This window comes from Homo sapiens, chromosome 17 (genome assembly GCF_000001405.40).
Source record: "Homo sapiens chromosome 17, GRCh38.p14 Primary Assembly".
Taxonomy (NCBI): domain Eukaryota; kingdom Metazoa; phylum Chordata; class Mammalia; order Primates; family Hominidae; genus Homo; species Homo sapiens.
The window spans coordinates 31,325,013-31,347,889 of record NC_000017.11 but is presented as its reverse complement, the minus strand read 5'-3'; the positions used below and the strand labels follow the sequence as shown (position 1 = coordinate 31,347,889).

The 22,877-nt window shown below is 38.1% G+C and overlaps 1 protein-coding gene and 1 pseudogene across 2 annotated transcripts in view; both read right to left on the bottom strand.

Moving 5' to 3' along the window:
* Positions 1-22,877, bottom strand: part of NF1 (neurofibromin 1) — a 282,699-nt gene that overhangs the window by 29,786 nt on the left and 230,036 nt on the right. For both annotated transcript variants that reach the window (NM_001042492.3, NM_000267.4), the window contains 12 exons: positions 21,638-22,070; positions 20,051-20,391; positions 17,392-17,594; positions 12,859-13,052; positions 11,417-11,557; positions 10,976-11,255; positions 10,308-10,522; positions 10,010-10,071; positions 9,751-9,865; positions 9,085-9,186; positions 7,245-7,385; positions 4,755-4,881 (listed from right to left, as the gene is read on the bottom strand). In NM_001042492.3, the coding sequence (NP_001035957.1) occupies positions 4,755-4,881; positions 7,245-7,385; positions 9,085-9,186; positions 9,751-9,865; positions 10,010-10,071; positions 10,308-10,522; positions 10,976-11,255; positions 11,417-11,557; positions 12,859-13,052; positions 17,392-17,594; positions 20,051-20,391; positions 21,638-22,070 (2,354 nt within the window). The remainder of the gene's footprint in view (positions 1-4,754; positions 4,882-7,244; positions 7,386-9,084; positions 9,187-9,750; positions 9,866-10,009; positions 10,072-10,307; positions 10,523-10,975; positions 11,256-11,416; positions 11,558-12,858; positions 13,053-17,391; positions 17,595-20,050; positions 20,392-21,637; positions 22,071-22,877) is intronic.
* Positions 189-2,574, bottom strand: AK4P1 (adenylate kinase 4 pseudogene 1; annotated as a pseudogene).

Sequence of the window (22,877 nt, the reverse complement as noted above, 5' to 3'; positions counted from 1 at the left end):
AAGGTAGCCAAGAAATATTCACATGAAGGGACAATGGGAGAGGAGCTGGCAAGAGTTTGGGCAGTACTTAGAAGGAAGATGCATTCCTTATCATATAGATTACATATGGCAGTGAATTGACAGAGGATTCACTGGGACATCTTCAGAAAGTAAGTAATGTGTTTCAACACCACTAAAGTGTTAAAATAGGCTTCTTTTCTTCTCGCCAGTATGAAAAGTTAGACAGGAGTCACTCCCAAGAATAGTAAAGGACACTCACTGGGGACAGTCATGATGGGTGAAGAAGGGATACATATTTTTAAGGCAGCAGGAATAAATTTCATCATCCTTCCCAGAAGACAGCAAGAATTATTCAAGGTGGCCACCAAGTCTGGAAACCAGGCAAATCTTTTAACAAATGGTTTATCGATATGTTATAATGAATGACAAAATATTAGTATCTAATTCTAGACTTTATGGCCACCCCATAGGATGAATCTTTGGAACAGAAAAAAAAATAAAGAATTTGTTTTCTCATAATCATAAAGCTGTTATACTCAGTCCAGGCACAGCTAGTACAACATTCTGCTCAACCCCACAGGCTCCATTCCCTTTACCACATATTTATAATATGTTTGGGTCACTCATAGGAGTGAAACACTGTCAGCATCAATAGTTAGCAGCACTTTCAAAATACATTTTATTGTCCCGAATAGAAACCTTAACTATTCAATTAGTCCAGTAATTCCAAATGGTCTTATTACTTCTATACATAAGATATGATCTTACAACATTTATGTAGCTAAATACTTAACTTCCCATGCTTTTTGAGGATTCCCAAAAGACTTTAGGGGGTTCCCAAGACTTTCAGGGGTTTTTTTTTTCACAATAAAAGAAAGGAACAGTGTCAATCCATAGAGTCAGACCAGCAGTTTAATAAGATCCTCTTCATAGCTCAGTTATCAGTGCATACAGAGATTCAATATAGCCCCATCGCTCTCAGTTATTAGAATCTGAGAGGGATAAGAGCAATAACTATTGTTTAAAAGCCTAAGAGTGAAAACAGATGTAAAAAAAAAAAAAAAAAAAAAAGCCAAATTCTTTCATCCCAGGATGTCTGAAAAGGAGAGACTCTATGGAGTGTGGATGTAGAAAAGGAGTTATTCCTACCGGAAAAAAATGAACTGTGGACACAGTCACTCAAGACTAGAGAAACAACCACTATGAGTAAGTAGCTTCAATTTCACTGTTACCAGGAGGGCACACACCAGAAAGCCTGGGACAAAGCCTGGGCTAGAGCCCTCAGGATTCATTCTCAGGCTTCCTGGTGCTGTGGTTCAACAGCCTTTGTGGGGATGGGGAGAACCAGAGACTATCACCATCACATGTAAAAAATATTACCACAGCAACAGCTGTCAAAAACCAGCTGGAGCTGAAGTTACACACCATTTGAAATCCACACTGTACTTGCTTTCTTGTGATGGGCTTGAGACATGTGCAGAGACACCTTAAACATGTGTAGGTGACCACCCTTTTGAAAGGCAGAGGAGGGCCTCTTCATGAACTCTTTCTACTCATTTGTTTTCCTATCAGTTCACCATTTCAACTAGAAAAGATGCTGCAAGCTACCTCAGCTAGCTTCTAATTTGGACACAGCACCAATACTACACACACTACTGAATGAATGACCACATCTTCCTGGTTCTTCCATTGGGCAGGGTCAATATGCTTCTTTGGACTGAATAGGTGTGATCTTGTTTGAGAAAAGTGTGTAAACGTAGGGCCAGATTTTGTTCGTCTCCGTTCCGGAAAATTGGTGGAGCACTCCTCGGCTCTTGTATAATTCAATGACTGGCTTTGCCACGTCTTTGTACTGTCTTAGCCTGGCAGCAACTGCTTCGGGTTTATCATCCTCCTGCTGGACTAATGGTTCACCAGTGACGTCATCAATACCATGTACATGAGGTGGATTGAAGTCCAGGTTATATACCCTTCCGCTAGGAGGGTGAATCCAACGGCGGCTGAGACGATCTTTAAGTGTTTCAAATGGAATATTCAAACTGATCACTAGATCCACTTCACAGATTTTGTCCAGGGCTTCGGCTTGTCCTAATGTCCTAGGAAAACCATCAAGGAGCCAGTGCTGGCCACGCCTATTCTCCAACTCGGACATCATTAGGCGTGTGATCACATGGTCTGGAACCAAAAGACTTTTCTCTATATACTGCTTTGCCATCTCACCAACTTCGGTGCTGGCCTTGATGTTCTCCCGCAAGAAGTGGCCGCTGGAGAGATGCTGGAGACCAAAGTTCTGGGCGATCCTCTGGCACACGGTGCCCTTGCCCGAGCCGGGCGGCCCGAGGATGACCGCGCGCAGGAGTTTGGAAGCCATTGCCTTCGCGAGGAGGGGGGCGGTCAAACGCGCAGCCCCGACCGCGGCCCCGGAGGGAGCCCCGGGAACTTTGTTTCTCGGCCCCCTACCTCTGGCACCCTCCGCTCTCACTGGGACTCGCCGGCCGCCCCTACAGGGGGAAGGAGAGACTTTTAAGACAACCCCTCCCCTCAGCCCAGCGCCGGGACCGAGTCGCAGGCGGAATACAAAAACATTTTTAATTAAAAGAAAAGCTGATGACATAGGAAGTATATGCTCTAAGAGCCCAATAAATAGGGTTGATTAGAGGATAAATTTGATCTTTGGCCAGCTTTTAATCATTAATCCTTCCCCCATTTAAAAATAGGTGATTTGAACATGGAAAGTATCTGGTCTTCTTTTCTTTTCTTGTCTTTTAAGACAGAGTGTCACTCTGTCACAAAGGCTGGAGTGCAGTGGTAGGATCTTGGCTCACTGCAACCTCTGCCTCCCAGGTTCAAGCGATTCTTGTGCCTCAGCCTCCTGAGTGGCTGAAACTACAGGTTTGCACCACCTCACCTGCCTAATTTTTGTATTTTTAGTAGAGATGGGGTTTCACCGTGTTGGCCAGGCTGGTCTTGAACTCCTGCCTTCAAGCAGGGGTTTCACCATGTTGGCCAGGCTGGTCTTGAACTCTTGGCCTCAAGCAATCCACCTGCCTCAGCCTCCCAAAGTGTTGGGATTACAGGCATGAGCCGCTGCACCCAGCCTGGTATTCTTTTAGATATAAAGAATAATTAAGCACTTTATTAGCCCAGTTACAATTACTTATCTTGGTATCCTTTAGTAAGGTAGTATTTTTTGAGAAATCCCCATTGACCTTAGAGATTAACACTGTCAATATTTTTTGTAGAAATTTCATAAGAAAGTGAAATCAAATGCATACATTCACAATAGTGGGTGTATGCATATCTCTCTCTCTCTCATAAAAACTGGGAGAATCTCCATGGTCCCTCAAGCCTATGATTTAAATTAATACAAAATTGTTGACTCAAGCTATAGCTTGAATCTCTATTGTGGCCAAATCCACTTCTGAGACCACTGGGGTTCATGCCAGCTCCTTATCCCAGGTCTTACTTTATCCTGCTTTGCTTCTGACCCACCACTACATGCTGTTCTTATTAACTGCAGTCTCTGGCCATGACTGCCCCATGTTAATGAACCAAAGTTAACAAGCTGTGAAGTCAGCAACGGGGAGTAAAACCAGGTTAGGAAGTGAATGAGCGGGCTCTGAGGAATAGCTGGAGATCACTGGCTATAAGCAATATAGAAAGGGGTGAGAATAGGGTGCCAGAAAGGTGATGTACAATGGTATAAAATAATAGTATTAATCAACAATAAACTATAAACAAGTTGAAGAAAATCTGTGATCAAATCTCTTAACATTTTCTAATATAAATTATTCAAATAACACTTAGTGATTTGCAGTCTGTTTCATTTTGAAAATCAGTAAGATACTTAGGTATTGTTACTATTAATATAGCTATTATCAGACTCAGTATGTAGGTTTTTGTAAGAATCAACACTTTTTTTTTTTTTTTTTTAAAGGCAGGGTCTCACTCTGTCACCCAGGCTGGAGTGCAGTGGCACGATCATGGCCCACTGCAGCCTTGACCTCCTGGGCTCAAGTGATTCTCCTTCCTCAGCATCCCAAGTAGCTGGCACTATAGGCATGTGCCACCGCACCTGGCTAATGTTTTTATTTTTTGTAGAAAGGGGGTTTCACCATATTGCCCAGGCTGGTCTCGAACTCCTAAGCTCAAGAGATCCTTCTGCTTTGGCCTCCCAGAGTGCTGGGACTACAGGTGTGAGCCACCATACCCAGCCAGAATAAACTCTTTTGTTTTTCAGGCAAATTTGATATTTGAATTGGAAATGAAGCTCTCTTAAAACACATATTGAATAAAACACAACTCATTAAGACAGATATAGTTTGCATTTATTTATTTATTTTTTGAGACAAAGTCTCACTCTGTTACCTAGGGCTGAGTGCAGTGGTGTGATCACGGCTCACTGTAGCCTCGACTTCCCAGGCTCAAGCAATCCTTCCATCTATGCCTCCTAAGTAGCTGGGACTACAAGCACGTGCCACCATGCCTGGCTAATTTTTAAATTTTCTGTAGAGATGAAGTCTCACTATGTTGCCCAGGCTGGCCTCAAACTCCTAGCCTCAAGTGATCCTCCTGCCTCAGCCTCCCAAAATGTTGGTATTACAGACGTGAGCCACCACGCCTGGCCTAGTTTGCATTTAAAGTAAGACATAAGGGCTAACTTACTTCAATTTATTTCAAGTAATCACTTATTCAAATTACTTCTGGTTTCTTAATAGTACTTCATAAAAATATTCTAAATAAGGCTTTTTTACCTTTTAAAAGGTGTCCAACCAATGCAAAGTTAAAGTTAGAGTTGAAATTGAGTCCAACAAAATGATCCATTTGCTTGCAGTGCCACTCCAGAGGATTCCGGATTGCCATAAATACTTCCTCTGGACTCTATTAAAGATAATCATGAGATGGTTGATGAGGTTCACACAGTAGCTTTCTTTAAAGGCTCACTTAATTTTGTGTTCAATAGTATGACAAGATAAGTAATCCTTTCAATTTGAGAGAAATTATTTTCAGTTGACTGCAGAAAACCACAGAACATTTTAGCTACTACAAATTAACTGGTGCAAGACAGTCAAGCATATAAATAAGAAGATGGTGGAAGATGAAATCACTTTTATTTACAATACAAAATAAATGACTGTCAATTTACATCCCGGTGACTTTTAACATGCTTATTAACTCTGATGCCTAGCATCCAAAGGGCACTAGAATCAATATTAGCTCCCGCTACTGGGCTGTTTTGAAGATGAAAATACCGAGGCAGATGCCCCATTTGCAATGCTCCATTTGCAAATATTCTTTTTTTGAGATGGAGTCTTACTCTGTCGCCCAGGCTGGAGTGCAGTGGCACCACCTTGGCTCACTGCAACCTCCTGGGTTCAAGAGATCTTCCCACCTCAGCCTCCCAGGTCGCTGGAGTTACAAACATGTGCCACCCTGGCTAATTTTTGTATTTTTAGTAGAGACAGGGTGTCACCATGTTGGCCAGGCTGGTCTCGAACTCCTAACCTCAAGTGATCCTCCCAACTCGGCCTCCCAGAGTGCTGGAATTACAAACATGCGCCATTGCACCCGGCCAATTTGCAAATATTCTTAACATATAAATAGCCAACAACTAGATATCGCTGACCACCACTGTCCCAAAACAGTTTTAGAAAAACGGCAATGAGAATTAGGACAGAGGGGTTCTAGTCCCAAAACAGATGTACAAGCATGGGCAAGTTACTTAACTTCTTAGTTCCTTTCTAATTTGCAAAATGGAGGTCTGATTAATAAACTCCATAAGACCTCTTACCTCTAAAATTTTGCTTCTATATTTTTCAGACCCATATCTGTTCCAGGTTCACACTACATCTGGTAGACTGAACTAATAATGTTTAGACCAAGTATCTTTTTACACTTAAAACCATAATCCTGTTCTTTGTACCCACAGTTCAGTTAATTTCACTTCAAGCAAATCTCACTGTATATACACATTCTTTTAAAAACATTCCCCTCTTTTCTCCTAGACCCTTCCCATTTTTATCCAAAGACAAAAGGGACGTAATTTCATACTATTTTATTCTCTCCTCTATTCTCTATGAACTAAAATCCAACCCCAATTAGATCTCCATTTTACAAATTAGAAAGGAACTAAGAAGTAATTTGCCCATGTTCATATATATATACACACACACATGCACACGTGCACACACACACACACACCCCATTAGCACCCCTCCTAACATTTATTAACCTTAATTGGAGTTGGATTTTACATATTTTATGTGTGTACACACACACACACACACACACACACTTTATATATATATATACACATACATTACATATATATGTGTGTATGTAATATATGTATACACACTTTTTTTTGGAGACAGGGTCTTGCTCTGTTGCCCAAGCTGGAGTGCAGTGGCGTGATCTCAGCTCACTGCAACCTCTGCCTCCCAGGCTCAAGCAATCCTCCTACCTCACCTCCCGAGTAGCTGGGATTGTAGGTGCATGCCACCATGCCTAGCTAATTTTTGCCTTTTTTGTAGAGATGGGGTTTTGCAAGTTGCCCAGGCTGTTCTCTAACTCCTGAGCTCAACTGATCCACCTGTCTTGGCCTCCCAAAGTGCTGGGACTACAGGTATGAGCCACCACTCCTGGCCACTAATGGTATATTTTAAAGTAAGATTAGACAGAATAAAAAAACTAGTAAAATTAAGTACCCAAAAGTTTCCTTTAGACTCTCCAACTTCCTTATCTACTATGAATTATACGTATTTTTCATTAAGTGGCATTATTAAGTAAAACTAAGATTACTTTTAGATTATTTCTTCACGTGTGAAATGGGGGGCAGAGAATGCTAACCTTTACCTTAAGGTTATGAAAATTAAAAATAAATGTATAGTGTTTAGCATACGGCCTGGCATGGTAGCTATTAATATTATTACCATGTATTGTTTATGCTCATTCTGTAAGGATGATCATGTATTATTTATCCTTATTCTGTAATTCTACTAGTATTAGGCCAGTACTGTTTTTTTTTTGTTTTTTTTTTTTTGCTATTTTTATGTAAAAAATATGCATTCAAGTTTACATAGTTCTTTATGAGCTGGTAAGGAAATATACTCACAATAAGTTACATTATACAAATTCCTACTTAAGTTATGGACTTCTTGTGATTTTAAAAGAATAGCAACAAGAAAAGATGGAAGAGTACTAAATTTGAGTAATCTAGGAACCTCAAGGCAAAGTTTGCTTACCTTGTCATTGAATATACGGAGACTATCTAAAGTATGCAGGTTTTGTTCAAGAAGTGCGGTACCTGCTGAATACAAGTTGACCTCATCAAGCTGCAGCACAGCCACAGCTACCCAAAAGAGGGCTTTGTGCAGAGGCGAGTCCTGGCAAAGAAGATATGTTTGAGGCTAGTAAGATGAATCATGACATAGTCTCTTTCAAAACACACTGCAGTTAAAAATAAAGCAGCTTATCTTCCTAAATTACCCATGTTTTCTCTTTTGGGGAAGATAAAGATATGAGTAAGCTCTTCACTTTTCCATATGTATAACTAAAGACACTGTTAGCTGGACTGAGAACGTTACTTAGCACCTCCTTTGACTTCTCCCTGTTCTTTGATTTCTAAATCCAGTCACCAAGGTTTGTTGATTCTTCTAGAGTAGTCTCTTTTGTATCTTTTGTCATTTCTTTCTTATTGCTAATGACATTACCACATGCCAACCTTCTTTATTATAAAGGTGGATTCTTTTTACTTCAGTTTCTCCCTACTCCAATCCACTGTGCACACTACCACCAGGAGCTAAGTCCTGCTTTCATCGTATGACTTGTCTGCTTAAAAACTGTACATTTCCAAACTCTTTTGAACAATGCTGAATGTGAGATGAGGTCTATCCAGTCCTCACAACTTTCCCTCTCTCGATTCCTTTGAAAAGCTTCTCCATTACAACTAGAATGTTCTACCCACCTTCCCTCCATTGTCCTGGCATTCTTGTGCAGCTCTCTCCCTTTCTCTCTACCTACATTAACTCCTATGTTTCCCTTTAACTTTATTTTAAACTGTCTTTTCAACTTCTTGTCACTCTTAACCAGTATGGTAATCTCTTGCTGCTCTGAATTAAAAGTATTTATTACTGGCAATCTTTACTTAGCACTGTGATATTAGGGAAAATACATGGACTTTAGAGTCAAATAGTATCACATTAGAATCATGGTTCTTTTATTAGGTATGTGACTTTGGGCAAGTTATTTAGCCCTTCTGAGCTCATTTTCACTTAGAAGATGGGGACCAGAGAACCATTTTGTATAATACAAAATTAGAATGCTTGTAGACAAACCAGGAATATAACAGGTATTATTTCTCTGTTATTTCTCCCAAGTCTGGCATACCTTTGTACTCAAATCACAGAATTAAACCACTTTAGAACTGGATGGTAATACCATGCCATTATCGAATCTTTTTCATTTTATTAATACAAAAACATGATTTCCAGATATCTTAAATATAAAAATGGGATAAGGTCAGACCATCCTAAAACAGTGGCCACTTCATTTTACTCCTTTTAAATATAATCTTCATTTGGCACCCAAACTCTTATGACGATCAAGTATACTTCTCCCAGCTTTAATTTCTCCATAGTAATAATCACTAACATACTACGTATTTTGTTTACTTCATTATCCATTCACTCCCCAACCTCCACACCCACCCCAGAAAGTAAGCTCCATGAAGGCAGTGAGTTTTATGGGCTTTGTTAGTACTCTATCTCTAGCGCCTAAAACAGTACTTGGCAATAGCAGATAATTAATAGTTATAAGATAAAATAATTAAGAATATATACCTATCTTTCCTTTAGCACTGATGAGACCAAAAACTTACAAGCGCTTGAGAACATACTATCCATACTTACTCTTCTTCTAATATGACTACTTCAAACAACTAAACTTTAAGAGGTTCTACTTTAACTATAGTTTTTTCTTTATAACTTATTCTCAATTCATCTTATTTTCTAAACTCTTTGAAAGAAAGTAACATTCAACACTGATACCCAAAATGAATGCACTCATTTTCTATACAGTAATTACCTTATTAAGAAGTGGCTGTAATTTGGTTAGTGCTATTACTGTAGCTTCTATCAGAACTTGACTGTTGTAAGTGTCAGGTCCTTTTAAGCAACTCTCAAGTGCCTTTTAGGAAAACAGAATTTTTTATTTTACTTTCATTGAAATAAAACATTAACTCCTAAACTGAATCTCGGAATGAATTCAGGAACATTTACTTATTTAATAAATGCTAGAATGATTTCTCATGCTATGGTGATCTTGGTAGCTAGCTTAATGTACATTTGTTTTCTTATTTTTTGACATTTCTACATTATAAGAGTCAGACATTATTATAGTAATTACAAATTAAATAATTTTATGCAAGGCTATAGTCTTACCATATAATTAAATGCTTTGAAAACTGGTAAAATACTAAGTGTACCTGCTTAGCAAAAGAGGCAACATATTTTATTTTAAAGACATCTTCCTTAATGAAGTAATCAGAGTTTACATATAAAGACAGCTTCTTTAGAGAAGACTTCTTCAAAGAATTACAATAAATAATCAAAATACATTTTAAAGGCTTAATAAGTAACATATAAGATATTTCATTGACCTCAAATTTAAACGTCTTTTAGAAAAATGAAAGATATGCTTTACAACTTGAGAACCATAAATATTTGGGAGAAGTGAGGGCGGAACAGGTACCTTGCTAAGAATACGGATTATCTGCTTTATCTGCCCATGAGACACTCGTTTGCTAATACACCCAAAGACAACAAGAGCTCTTGGTTGCAGGGATGGATTATATTGGAATGCAAATCTGCAATTAAAAGATCCACAGAACTTATAAAAACCTTTGTGTTTATATATACTAAATAATAAATTATAACATTGATCATACAGTAATAGCTGTATTTTCAACAATATGCATATTTTTACAACTTATATTTAATTTAGGACATACCTTTGAGCTAGTTCTGTCCACTGGTCCAGCCACTTGCACGTTGGAATATCTCTCATGCATGCCTAAAAAAGGGGATACTCTGAATACATATTGTACATAAATGTTTTTAGAACTGTTTAAATAATGTTTATTATGATGTCATTAAGTGACCTGTTACCAATAACACAGTCCATGCAAGTGTTTTTATTTAAGCATTAAGTACAAAATAGCACAATAAACCAATATTTCTTCTATATAGTATTAACATATTTTTAAAAAAAGATTTTAACTTAGTTTCTTATCATTTTGGCTTCTATACCTCCATGATCTCCAACAAAGCTTCTGTGACTGTTTCCAAGGATGTCAAAGCAAAAGTCTCTCTCTCATAGGAGCCAGGAGAGAATGACCTGTCCCGGTAACTGGAACGGAAGGCAATGACAGCAGCTGACTTGACTTTGCTAATGCCAAACAGCAAGTAAAATTTGGGTAATGAGAACTCTGTCAGACTGAGTCTCAAAACTTGCTTGGTCTCTTCTGTAAGAGAATAAAGGAACAAGTAAAGACAGAAAATATTACTTTTTAATTTCTAAAGTTCCATGTTTCATTTTGAATTTAGAAAATTTGAATACCATATAAAAATTACATAATCATGTTCCCTAAATCAAACCTCTAGATACATTGTATTAATGCTCCTTGCTTCATTTATCTACAAATTAGTGCTGGTAACTGAACATGGTCAACTGGCACTGAGTATTCCGCTTATGGGATAACTCTACATGACAAGTATGCATAGAAAATCTTTACTATAGCTTGATATGGAATGGAAGTAATTTATTTTCTTTTTGGTAATATTTCATGTCATTACTGGAGGCTTAAATTAGCAACTTGGTGTTAGAGCACAAACATAAATAAGATAATCTATATTGATCAGGTGAAGTAAAATGGAGAAAGGAACTGGTAAACACAAATTCCTTTCCTAGAACTTACCACTAAAATGAAGCTGTGAACAAGTACACAGAGAGTGAATGATATTAATGACCAGTCCATGTGTGGAAGCTCTAAGGGAGAGCGGACCTGTGGCTACTAAGAAAGTAACAACGTGGAAGAGGTAGGGAAGATGAGCTGCCACATCAAGGGAATTGTTGAAGGACAGCATCAGCATGTAGCGTGCTAAAATAGCAATATCATCCCACATAAGATGTTGTTCTAAAGTAGGAGTTGGAGATAAGCATGTCTTGTCAATTATTTTGCACATCCTTCCAATAACCTGTAAAGAAGCAGGATTTTTTTTTTTAAAAAAAAAAACATGGGACTCAAAGTTTTAGCACAAAAAAGTTCAGTTTAATTTAAAAGTAATTACAAAACAAAAAACCTCCTGATGATAAAACAGATATGCTATAGTACAGAAGGCAAAAGAAAAGTGATTACCTTGCTTGAAACCAATTTCACATTTCCAGAAGCCAAAGCTACAGCAGTATCTGCCATCACCTCAGCTTTTATTGATCCCAAGCCACCTGTTGCACTGGTTTTGATGAAACTGTCTAGTACAACATCAAGCAGATCTGTAATCTAGTTGAAGAAGGAAAATAACATGTTTTTAATCACTCTACCAATTTAATTTTTAATTAAAAAATATTCATTGGAACAGCCTAATCAATATGAAAATTCTATTTTACCTGAGGCCTCAAAAATACTAGATTTTATTTACAGGCCTGTCAGTAAATACAATTTATTATAAAATATCCAGTAAAGGATGAGTATATTCATTTGACTCCTTCAGAGATTAAGAGATTGGTATTCAAAAATTTTAAATCTCTATCAATACTATCTTCAGTCACTTGCAAAGTATCTCTATGCTTTTCTAAGACAGTAATGTAGCATCAATATAAAATAGTAATTTGAAAATACAGAGCTGGGTGCAGTGGCTCACGCTTGTAATCCCAGCACTTGGGGAGGCTGAGGCGGGCGGATTGCTTGAGGCCAGGAGTTCAAGACCAGCCTGGGCAACATGGCAAAACCCTATCTCTAAAAAAAAAAAAAAAAAAAAATACAAAAATTAGCCAGGTGTGTTGGTGTGCACCTGTAGGCCCAGCTACTTGGGAGGCTGAGGTGGAAGGGTCACTTGAGCCTGGGAGGCAGAGGTTGCAATGAGCCGAGACTGTACCACTGCACTCCAGCCTGGGTGACAGAGCGAGACTCAGTCTCAAAAAAAAATAAAATATAGGAAATGACATTAAGTACCAGGATGTTTTCTAGGGCTGCAACACTGGCTCCAAGGTTATTTCTAATTATTTGGAGGAGGAGCAGCAGTGTTTGAGTGAGGGCATTATTTCCTTAAATGATTACTTTGAAGAAATGATATGCCTAATTCTTGTCAGATAAAAATAAAATTTACATTATATCCTATTTTAATATTGGCATTCTTATGTAGAACTATAAATGAAAGCAGATGTCCCAAATAGCATCAATAAGAAGAAACATCTACTGACACCTTTGGAATGTAGAGAACTAGAATAAAGCACTAGAAATGTCACCAGATTTCTACAGTTCTATATAATATATATATAAAATCTAGTTATTTGCACAGTCTCCTTCAAGGCATAATTATATATATATATATATATATAATTATGCCTTGAAGGAGACTGTGCAAATAACTAGCTTTTCTCTGGCTCTGAGACATGCACTAGACATTTACAATTTTGAACCAGATGAAGAGCTGGGTGAGTGTCTACATGCTTTCTGAAGGAGGAAACTGTGTTTTTTACAACTCTATCCCTAGTGTCTAGCGCAGTGCTTTGCCCAATGTGGCACCAGATAAATATGTGCACAAAGGAGATACTAGATAAATATTTGAGCAAACTCAATACCTGCCCAAGGCTTCCCCATATTTTTGCTTGAATAGATGGGTACATCTGTTTTTCATTGATGGTCATTGTTATCAGCTTGTCAAGAATAGCAGTAACTCTTTGTCGTTTGGCATCATCATTATGCTTGCAAAAACGAACTAGATTTGACAGCCATGGAGTCATGTATTCCAAACAAAGGTGTTTCAATTCAATACCTGGAAAAAAATACACTATTAGCATGTGATGGTCAATGAAAATCACATCAACAATTATTTAACATAAAGAATTCGGGGAAAAAATGGTAAAAGGTAAAGACTATTACCTAGAATCAGGCCTGGAGAAAAGACACTTGGCAAATATATTTTTGTAGAGGCGAAGAAAGAACAGTCCTTGAAGAAAGTAATTTTAAAAGCCAGTAAGCCAATTTTTGAAAAGTTTTGTCTTATTTTCCTCCATTTTAGTCCTTTCTTGTTAAAAAGTTGTTTTATTCTCATTATAAAAGGAAATGTGGTAATCATAGAAAGTTTGGTAAAAGGAAAGCATCACCACAAAATGAAAACTGTATTAACATTGGTGTATCATCTCATCTCTCCTCAGGCTTTCAAATTTATGTAGAGTTAATGTACATTTATGTGTGTGTACACAGGTATAACCCACTCCCACTCCCCCGCAAAAACGGGGATTATGCTATACATGCAGTAGGCTCTGAATATTTTTTTCAGTGATTATACTGAGATTATTCATTTTTTTTTTTTTTGAGATGGAGTCTCCTCTGTCGCCCAGGCTGGAGTGCAGAGGAGCGATCTCGGCTCACTGCAAGTTCCGCCTCCCGGGTTCACAGGTTCACACCATTCTCCTGCCTCAGCCTCCCGAGTAGCTGGGACTACAGGCGCCCACCACCACGCCCGGCAAATTTTTTTTCATATTTTGAGTAGAGACGGGGTTTCACTGTGTTAGCCAGGATGGTCTCAATCTCCTGACCTCGTGATCTGCCCGCCTCGGCCTCCCAAAGTGCTGGGATTACAGGCGTGAGCCACCACCCCTGGCCTATACTGAGATTATTTATTCAACATTACAAATTCTGCAAACTTCTTTTAAACTTACTTGAAAAAGCTTCACATTTATAAGACAAAAATTGTACAAAAATTTATCTATACACTTTACCTAAAGTCTCAAAGAGTTTTTAAAATTGTGGTAAAATATACACAACACAAAATTTACCATTTTAACTATTTTTAAATGTACAGTTCCGTGGCTTTACCCATTTTGAAGGGCACAGTTCAGTGGCACTGAGTACATTCAAATCATTGTGCAGCCATCACCACCATCCATCTCTAGAACCTTTTCATCTTCCAAACTGAAATTCTGTAACAAAGCCATTTTTCAATGGCTTCATATTATTCCATCAGATGGAGAACCAATAATTTAATCAGTTCCTTATTCTTTGACTTTTGGCCTGTTCATTTTTTTGCTATTATAAATAATGTCATATGAAGTTCTAAAGTAGGCAAAATAAATCTGTGCAATAGAGGTCATAATAGTGTTTACTCTTGGTGAAGGGAGGGTACTGAGAATATCCCTCTGGATGCTAGAAATGTTCTATGTCTAGATCTGGAGATACTTTCATGATGTATTTGCATGTAGAAGTTCATCAAGCTGTTGACTTAAGATCTTGCACTTTACTGATGACAAGATATACCTCAATTTAAAAATCTACATAAAAATAATGCTATAATAAACATTTTAACATTAATTCTTTAGGATAAATGCTAAAAAGCAGAATTATGAGGCCAAAAGGTATGAATAGTCTTAAGGTCTTGTTATCCACTTCCAAATGCCTTTCTAGAAAAATTGCCTCTACTCACAATTCCACAGACCACCAGGAATGGATCTTAAAAAAAAAATCTTTGCCAAGCTGATAACTGATTATCTCACTATTCTTTCAATTGGCTTTTATTAGTGAATTTCTTAAAATATAAATATTCTTTTTGAGATGGGGGCCTCACTATGTTGTCCAGGCTGGTCTCAAACTCCTGGGCTTAGCGATCCTCCTGAGCAGGTGGGATTACAGGCATGTGCCATGGTGCCTGGCTTTTTTCTTTTTTTGTACAAATATTCTTTTTTAAAAAACATAAAAAATGATGAGTTCATATCCTTTGTAGGGACATGGATGAAATTGGAAACCATCATTCTCAGTAAACTATCGCAAGAACAAAAAACCAAACACCGCATATTCTCACTCATAGGTGGGAATTGAACAATGAGATCACATGGACACAGGAAGGGGAATATCACACTCTGGGGACTGTGGTGGGGTCGGGGGAGGGGGGAGGGATAGCATTGGGAGATATACCTAATGCTAGATGACACAGTAGTGGGTGCAGCGCACCAGCATGGCACATGTATACATATGTAACTAACCTGCACAATGTGCACATGTACCCTAAAACTTAGAGTATAATAAAAAAAAAAAAAAAACCATGATCTGTATGTTACTGTTAATCCACTTTTTATTAATCGGTCAGCACCCTTCATGATTAAGGATTTTATTCATTCATTCATTCATTTATTCATTCATTTATTTATTTTGAGACAGAGTCTCCCTCTGTTGCCCAGGCTGGAGTGCAGTGGAGTGATCTCGGCTCACTGCAACCTCTGCCTCCTGGGTTCAAGCAATTCTCCTGCCTCAGCCTCCTGAGTAGCTGGGACTACAGGCATGTACCACCGAGCCCGGCTAATTTTTGTATTTTTAGTAGAGAGGGGATTTCACCATATTGGCCAGGCTGGTCTCGAACTCCTTACCTTGTGATCCACCCACCTCAGCCTCCCAAAGTGCTGGGATTACAGGCGTGAGCCACCGCGTCTGGCCGATTAAGGATATTAATCATTTCTCATATTTGCTCCAAGTGTATTTCCTAGTTTTTAATTATCTTCACTTGTGTTTATTTTTGAGTAGCTATGTTTTGAAGTTTTATGTAGTCAAATCTGTTCGCTATTTCCTTTGTTTCATCCTATCACTTTTTTACTTCATATGTCCTTACTCATCTAGAAAGCAATTAAATATTCACTTGTTCCTCTTCTTTTTAAAATGGTTCCAAGCTTTTATATACAACTTTTTTTTTTTTTTTTTTTTTTTTTTTTTTTTTTTAATAGAGAAGGGTCTCACTCTATCATCCAGGCTGGAGTGCAGTGGTACGATGATAGCTCACTATAGCCCTGACCTCTGGGGCTCAAGCAATCCTCCTGCCACAATCCTCTTGCCTCAACCTCCCAAAGTGCTGGGATTACAGGCGAGAGCCACCACACACAGCCCTACTCAACTCTTAAATACAGGCAGAACATACTTGGTATCTTATGGTGTACGGTGAAGACGAAGACCTAATTTAAGTCATTTCCCAGCCTCATTTATTAAATGATTTAATCTCTCCCTCATCAGTTTGTGATGCTTCTTTATCAATCTGTTTCTCTTAAACTGATCTGATGGCTGATTCTTGCACATGTATGTTTTAATTATTGTACTGCTATAAAGTGTTCAGACATCTGTACTATTAAGTCTCAAGTCTCTTTCCTTTCAATATTTTCTTAGCTATTATTGCACTTTTATGTAGAATTTAGAATCATTTAAGTTCTATCTCCATTCTCAATCCTCAAATCCCATGGTTATTTTGATGAAATTACATTAAATTTGTAATAATCTGGGAAGAACTGTTCATGCAGGAACACAATATGCCTTTACATTCACTCAAATCTTCTCTCATATTAATATTTATGAATAAAGTTTATACTTTTCTTGTTTTGTCAGTCCTACACATTTTTTTGTTAGGGTTATAGTCCTACATCTCTTACCTGACAAAGAGTCTTAGTGAATTGCTGAAGCTTTTAATTATCTAATATATAAAAGTCAAGAAATGTGTTTGAATGCAGAAAAAAAAGTTTTATATATTACAGGGAAAGGAAAGGGAAGAAAAGGTCAGGAAATATGCTGGGAGAAGATCAACATTTATAAAACTATAGGATATAAAGATGGACAAATATAAAGAGTGGATATTAAATTTATAAGACTTAGTTAAAACAAAGTCAGAACTGACTCTGGGCCCTGTATTATGTGCCACTGTGCTCTCCGTGAACTGTACATTTACAATAAATTCATTGTTCAAAGTCAACCTAAAGAAAAGAGAAAATGACTAGTTCTCTAAAATTAAGGAGGCAACATGGATACTTATGTGGACTTTTCTGCTATGAAGAGAAATGCTGAAGCTAATTAAACTGCAACAGTGAAGAAAATACTTTGTAAGTGGTCCAGAGGTGTGTAAAGTACCAAACTCTTGCCGCTTTGCTTTTATTATCAGAATTTTGGTGGATTTCTCAATGTGGCCTACCAAAAAGTTCCTTCAGAGTTCCTTCAGTTACAGGATACCACAGATATAAAATCAGAAGAGGAAAAAAAGTAAAAATGTAAGTGAAAGTCTTCACTGGAAAATTCTGAAATGAAAGGGTTTTCTTTGAATTCTCTTAGAATAATTGTTAGTATTAAAGAAAATTATCATTACTTACTAGATTTGCTAAATCCAGAAATACACTCTTCCAAAAATTCTAACGTGAGGTGTGGCTCATTGGCTGCCAGTGTCTTACTAATAGAGACAATAAAGAGGGTGTTGTTGGCAGGGATACATAAACCTGATGTCTCTAGTAACTGGCCCTCGATTTTTAAATTAAAGGTACAAGTTAAGGCACACAGAAGATTATAGGCAGCTGACCTAGGAGAAAACACAAATGAAGTTGTTTTAAAACGTATTTTTCCTTATAGTTCCAAAATTTTTTCATAACATACAATTTGTGATTCTGTTACAAAGTATGATCAACTATTTTTAAATTTTATGATCAGTTAGAAATAAGATGTTATAATTCTACAGTAAAACCAAAATACCCCTTAATCATTTAGGGATTTTATAAAAAGGGACACACTTGATATAACCATAAGAGCACTGTGAGGCTCCTATGACAGAGGGGCGGGGTATAGGCTTTCCTAAAATACATCTCACTGAGACATAAAATATGAGAGGACTTATGGTCCTAATGTGGATCAATAGAAATTAAGTCAGAATAAGGCACACCATACATTTTTAGCAAAGCCAAAACTCAAATTCTGGTTCTCTTTCCCACTAGATCCAGTTATAATGGGGATCATAGGGACAGATATCAGATGGCCCTTCCCTTCATCAAATTAGAATGTGAAAATCTTTAATCAGGATCTGCTGAACTTCTTTCTGGGTGTCCTAAAAGTTACCCTACAAACTGAAGGTTAAAAACAAAATTAACTTATAATTAAGTCCTCCCATTTTTCCCTCTATGACCTCATTACATCATATATAACCACCAATATGGAAAAAAACTATAATATCCAGGTTTCATTGAGACCAAACATCACTTACAAATGTCTGAAAATATATTTAAGCAATTTAGGAGACAGCCTAAAAGACTCAGACTCAATTTAAAAATTTTAATTTTCTCCCCTGTCCAGTAAAGGAAATAGTTTGTTCAGTAACTGTCAGGTTTTCCTTACCTCTGAATGTTTATCATGCTACTATATTGATGCAACAACCATATAGGGAAAAAAAGCCACTGGAATTTAAGTCTGCCTAAAGGCTTTTTCTCTGGGATGACATGCTTCAGCAAAAAGCAGAAGCTGTCAGAGATTGCTTTAGGTCACTAGAGAAGAATACAGGTTTACCCAGGCTAATAATTGTTAAAAGGTTGTATTTTTCAATGAAGATCTTTGAATTAGAAATTAAAGGCAGGCTTATAGCTCCATTTTCCTAAAATGTGAAAATTAGTGTTATTATTTCTGTTTACATATCTTTTTTCTTTTTTAAAAAACTTTTAGTCAGAGTCTCACTATGTTCCCCAGGCTGGTGTGCATTGGCTATTCACAGACATGATTATAGCACACTGCAGCCTTGAACTCCTGAGCTCAAGCTGTCCTCCCGCCTCAGCCTCCCGAGTAGCTGGGACTACAGTGCCAGTGCTCAGCTTGTATCTTTTACTAATTCCCAGGAATTCTAAGTTATACAATTTTGACAAAACTTTTATCCTGTGTATTTCAACACTTATAAAGAATTGGACTTCCTCAACCCAGGACAGGTGTCACAGACACCTATGAGATAAAGGAAGCAAAGCATACACAAAATCTTATGTACAATTTCTGAAGCCCATCCAAGTAAACATATCTTGATTTTCTTCTTTTTCCCTTTAAGTAAAGGAGAATTTGGAATCCTAAAAGGCCCACTATAAAACCTGGGCTATGTTATCCTCAGGGAAAATTTTCAGAAGTTAAGAATTTACATCTGAAAAATCTTCAAAGTCTCAGGGTACTTGAGACAAAGAATTATCCTAACTTGGTAAGGAGAGGGGAGAAAAGGGAGAAAGGGTGCAAGGAGATGCTGGCAGGGAGGGAAAAGATAAGAAAATACTACTTACTAAGTATAAACTATTTGCTAGTTTGCTATACTATACTACTACACATACTATTTTTTAAGCTTTTGTGGGTATATAAGAAAGGCAATTACCTTTATTTCACAAATAAGGAAACTAGATATCTGAAAACTTCAGTATCTTGCTCAAAGTACATAGCTAGAAAGTGGCATATCTGTTCAAACCACATCTACTCACTCCACAGCCATGCTCTTTCCACATGCATATTCAAGTTATTAAGCCTAAATGGAACCAATTACACTCTGCTCAGATGACTTATTTGTCTTAAGATTTATTTTGAGAATTTTGTTAAGAGTGATGTAGGTGGAAAGTATGCAATAATGTTACCAAGTTATTGAACATTAGGCCTTCTTTTGTAAAGCAATAATCTGACTTGACTTTTAAACTAAATAGTGATATACTTCTGAAAATGGAAAAAAATTAGAGGACTTAGAGGAAGAAAAACTTAATTTAGGATACTTTGGAAAAAAAAATCTGCTATGTCGTGTTGTTTTACATGATGGAGAAAGGACATATATTGGTTTAGTGTGAATCACCCTGTTTGGAATTCCACAGTTCATGTGAATACCCCACAACTTGATGAGGTCACAGTGGTTAACCAACACTGCATACCTTCCAATTTACAATATTAAGGTAGAGGCTGTTTTAAAATTCATTAAATGGTCTCATTTTAAAAGCAACAAACCCCAAATCAAACTGAAGAGAATTTTAAAAAACCTACCGTAAACTCGGGTCAGAACTGCCTAAATTAAGTAATGCGATATTGAGCAGTGTCCCAGGGACATCTTTTGGCCGAATCTTGGTGTGTTGGGGGATAGAGTCGGGCTGTGACAGTTCCCAGCGGGTCCGGATATGAATGATAGACTGGACAATGGCTTCACACTCCTGGTGCATGAAGGTGAGCGGCGTGCCCTGGTTTGCAATGGTTAAGGTGAACTGGTTCTCATCTACTAGGCAGATTTCTTCAATTTCCGAAGCATAATAAATGTCATTTAGAAAGACTGATTGCCCTAGGACTTTTGTTCGCTCTGCTGAAGTTACTTGGACAGCAGTAGAACCAACCTGGAAAGTGGTGGTGACGGGGTGAAGTGGAGAAGAATTAAACTCTTTTACATAAAATTCTAAAAGGCTCCAGAAACCAACCAACCAAACAAAACACTATGCCATTTAAGGAAGAGTTCCCACCATTGTATATTCAAATGGTTCAGTAATTATTATGATAAATGTTCTCAAAAGAAACAAAAAACATTTAAAAATTTTTTAATTTTCCTTTTTAAAAAGGTCAAGAATCTTATAGAAGGCCGGGTGCAGTGGCTCATCCCTGTAATCCCAGCACTTTGGGAGGCCGAGGTGGGCAGATCACTTGAGGTCAGGAGTTCGTGATCAGCCTGGCCAACAACCTTGTCTCTACTAAACCTACAAAAACTAGCCTGCCGTGGCGGTGGGCGCCTATAATCCCAGCTACTGGGGAGGCTGAGGCAGCAGAATCGCTTGAACCTGGGAGGCAGAGGTTGCAGTGAGCCAAGATCATGCCACTGCACTCTGAGATCACGCCACTGCACTCTGAGATCACGCCACTGCACTCCAGCCTAGGCAACAGAGTGAGACTCCATATCAAAAAACAAAACAAAACAAAACAAACAATCTTATAGAAAAGTACTGATTTTATCCTGAAGGTTCATGTTCCTCACTCTGAAAAAAGCATGTAATAATCAGAACTCTCATTAGGTAATTTCTACTCTCCACACATTCCTACAATTTGAATGACATAACAAATTGCCCTCTCCAAAACACTCTTCTACTTCCAGCCTAAGCTAGAATAAAATGTATACGTCTCATATCCTCCACAGGACCTCCATGATGACACAAATGTTGGTCTTCCTACATCTAGATTTACATAACCTTTTATTTTTTGAGACAGAGCGTCCCTCTGTTGCCCAGGCTGGAGTGCAGTGGCGCAATCTCGGCTCACTGCAACCTCCACCTCCCGGGTTCAAGCGATTCTCCTGCCTCAGCCTCCAAGTAGCTGAGATTACAGGTGCCCACCACCATACCCGGCTAATGTTTGTATTTTTAGTAGAGACGGGGTTTCACCGTGTTGGCCAGGCTGGTCTTGAACTCCTGACCTCACGTGATCTGCCCACCTTGACATCCCAAAGTGCTTGGATTACAGGCGTGAGCCACCGCGACAGCCTTACGTGACATTTTATACACCACTATAGGGGTAGGACACCTAGGGAGGCCAGGATATAGTCTAGTTAGTCAAGAAAAGCAATGAATCGTTTACAAAACACAGACTGGAACTTACTTTAATAGAAACTTTGGTGTCTTTGTGAGCTAGCTTGAGAGCATTGTGGAATACCTTCAGGTCCTCTTCTAAAGCCAAGGTGGCAGCAGGTAGTTTCTGTTGTTCATGCTCTATGTGCTCAGCCAGTTTCCCAGGACAGTCTATGAAAACAAGCCTTTTGCTACCTTTGAGGCCAGTCAGCAGCCGCTCATGATACTTGGTGTACTCCCTGACCCAGGAGTTACAGTTATAGATATAGACTGCGGAGACGTTGTCGTAAGCAAAGCCAGGAAAAACAACAAACCACTTAGAGAGAAAGTCTGTTTTAAAGCGATTGCTAGGCCCGGTATGGGTAAGGTCCACTACAATTTCATATGGCTTTGCATAATATGGCTTTAAAGTCAGTAAGACATGGTATATCAGCAAATCACCATTGATTTGACCAGTTTTGAACCTAAGGAAAATGACAAAAAAGACAAAGATTATTAGCAGTGTTTAAAATAAATATACAGATGCCACTAATCAATTTTATTTTATGATTCATTTTCTAGAGAGAATAATATAAAACAATTCTTCAAAGTCTGGATTCATTTTTTAAATCAGTTGTTTTTTGGACACTGAGAAATAAGGCTAAGAGAAGAGACAAATCTCCAATTCAAAAATTTTGAGCCACGACAACAATAAAAAATTTGCCCATGAGTCAAGAAAGGAAGAAAACAGTGGGAATTAGTTGGTTGCCTGCAGGGCCCACCAAACTCCTTAGGCGAATAGTCTGGTAGGAATGACCCATCTGGAGCTCTGGAGTGAGATGGTTTTAGCCAATCCATTTATCCCACCTTGATCACAGACTGATTCAGCAATGAACACATTATTCAAACCAGGACAACCAGGGCCAAAGAGGCCCAGTTCAGGTAGTTTAGCTTAAATTGTTGGGATTTGAGATATTTCTTTCCTGGTGTTTATAAACAAGGGAATACGTAGCCCTAGGAGTTGCTAGCTCATATTTTGGGATATAAAAGAAGAGCCTCCCAAAAGACTGAAGAGAAGGAGCTGAGAAATAGACAAACTGGAACCCTGGCCATATCATTTGTGTATGAGATAAAGCCTCTCCTGGGGTCAAATTTATCCCAGGACTGCTCAGTTACATAAGCCAATAAATACCATTTTTTGATTAAGCCATATTAGGTCATATGTTGCTTAAAACCAAAAGAATACTAATAAATGGGAGCAGCCACAGTGAGGACCATGAAAAAGCCCTGAA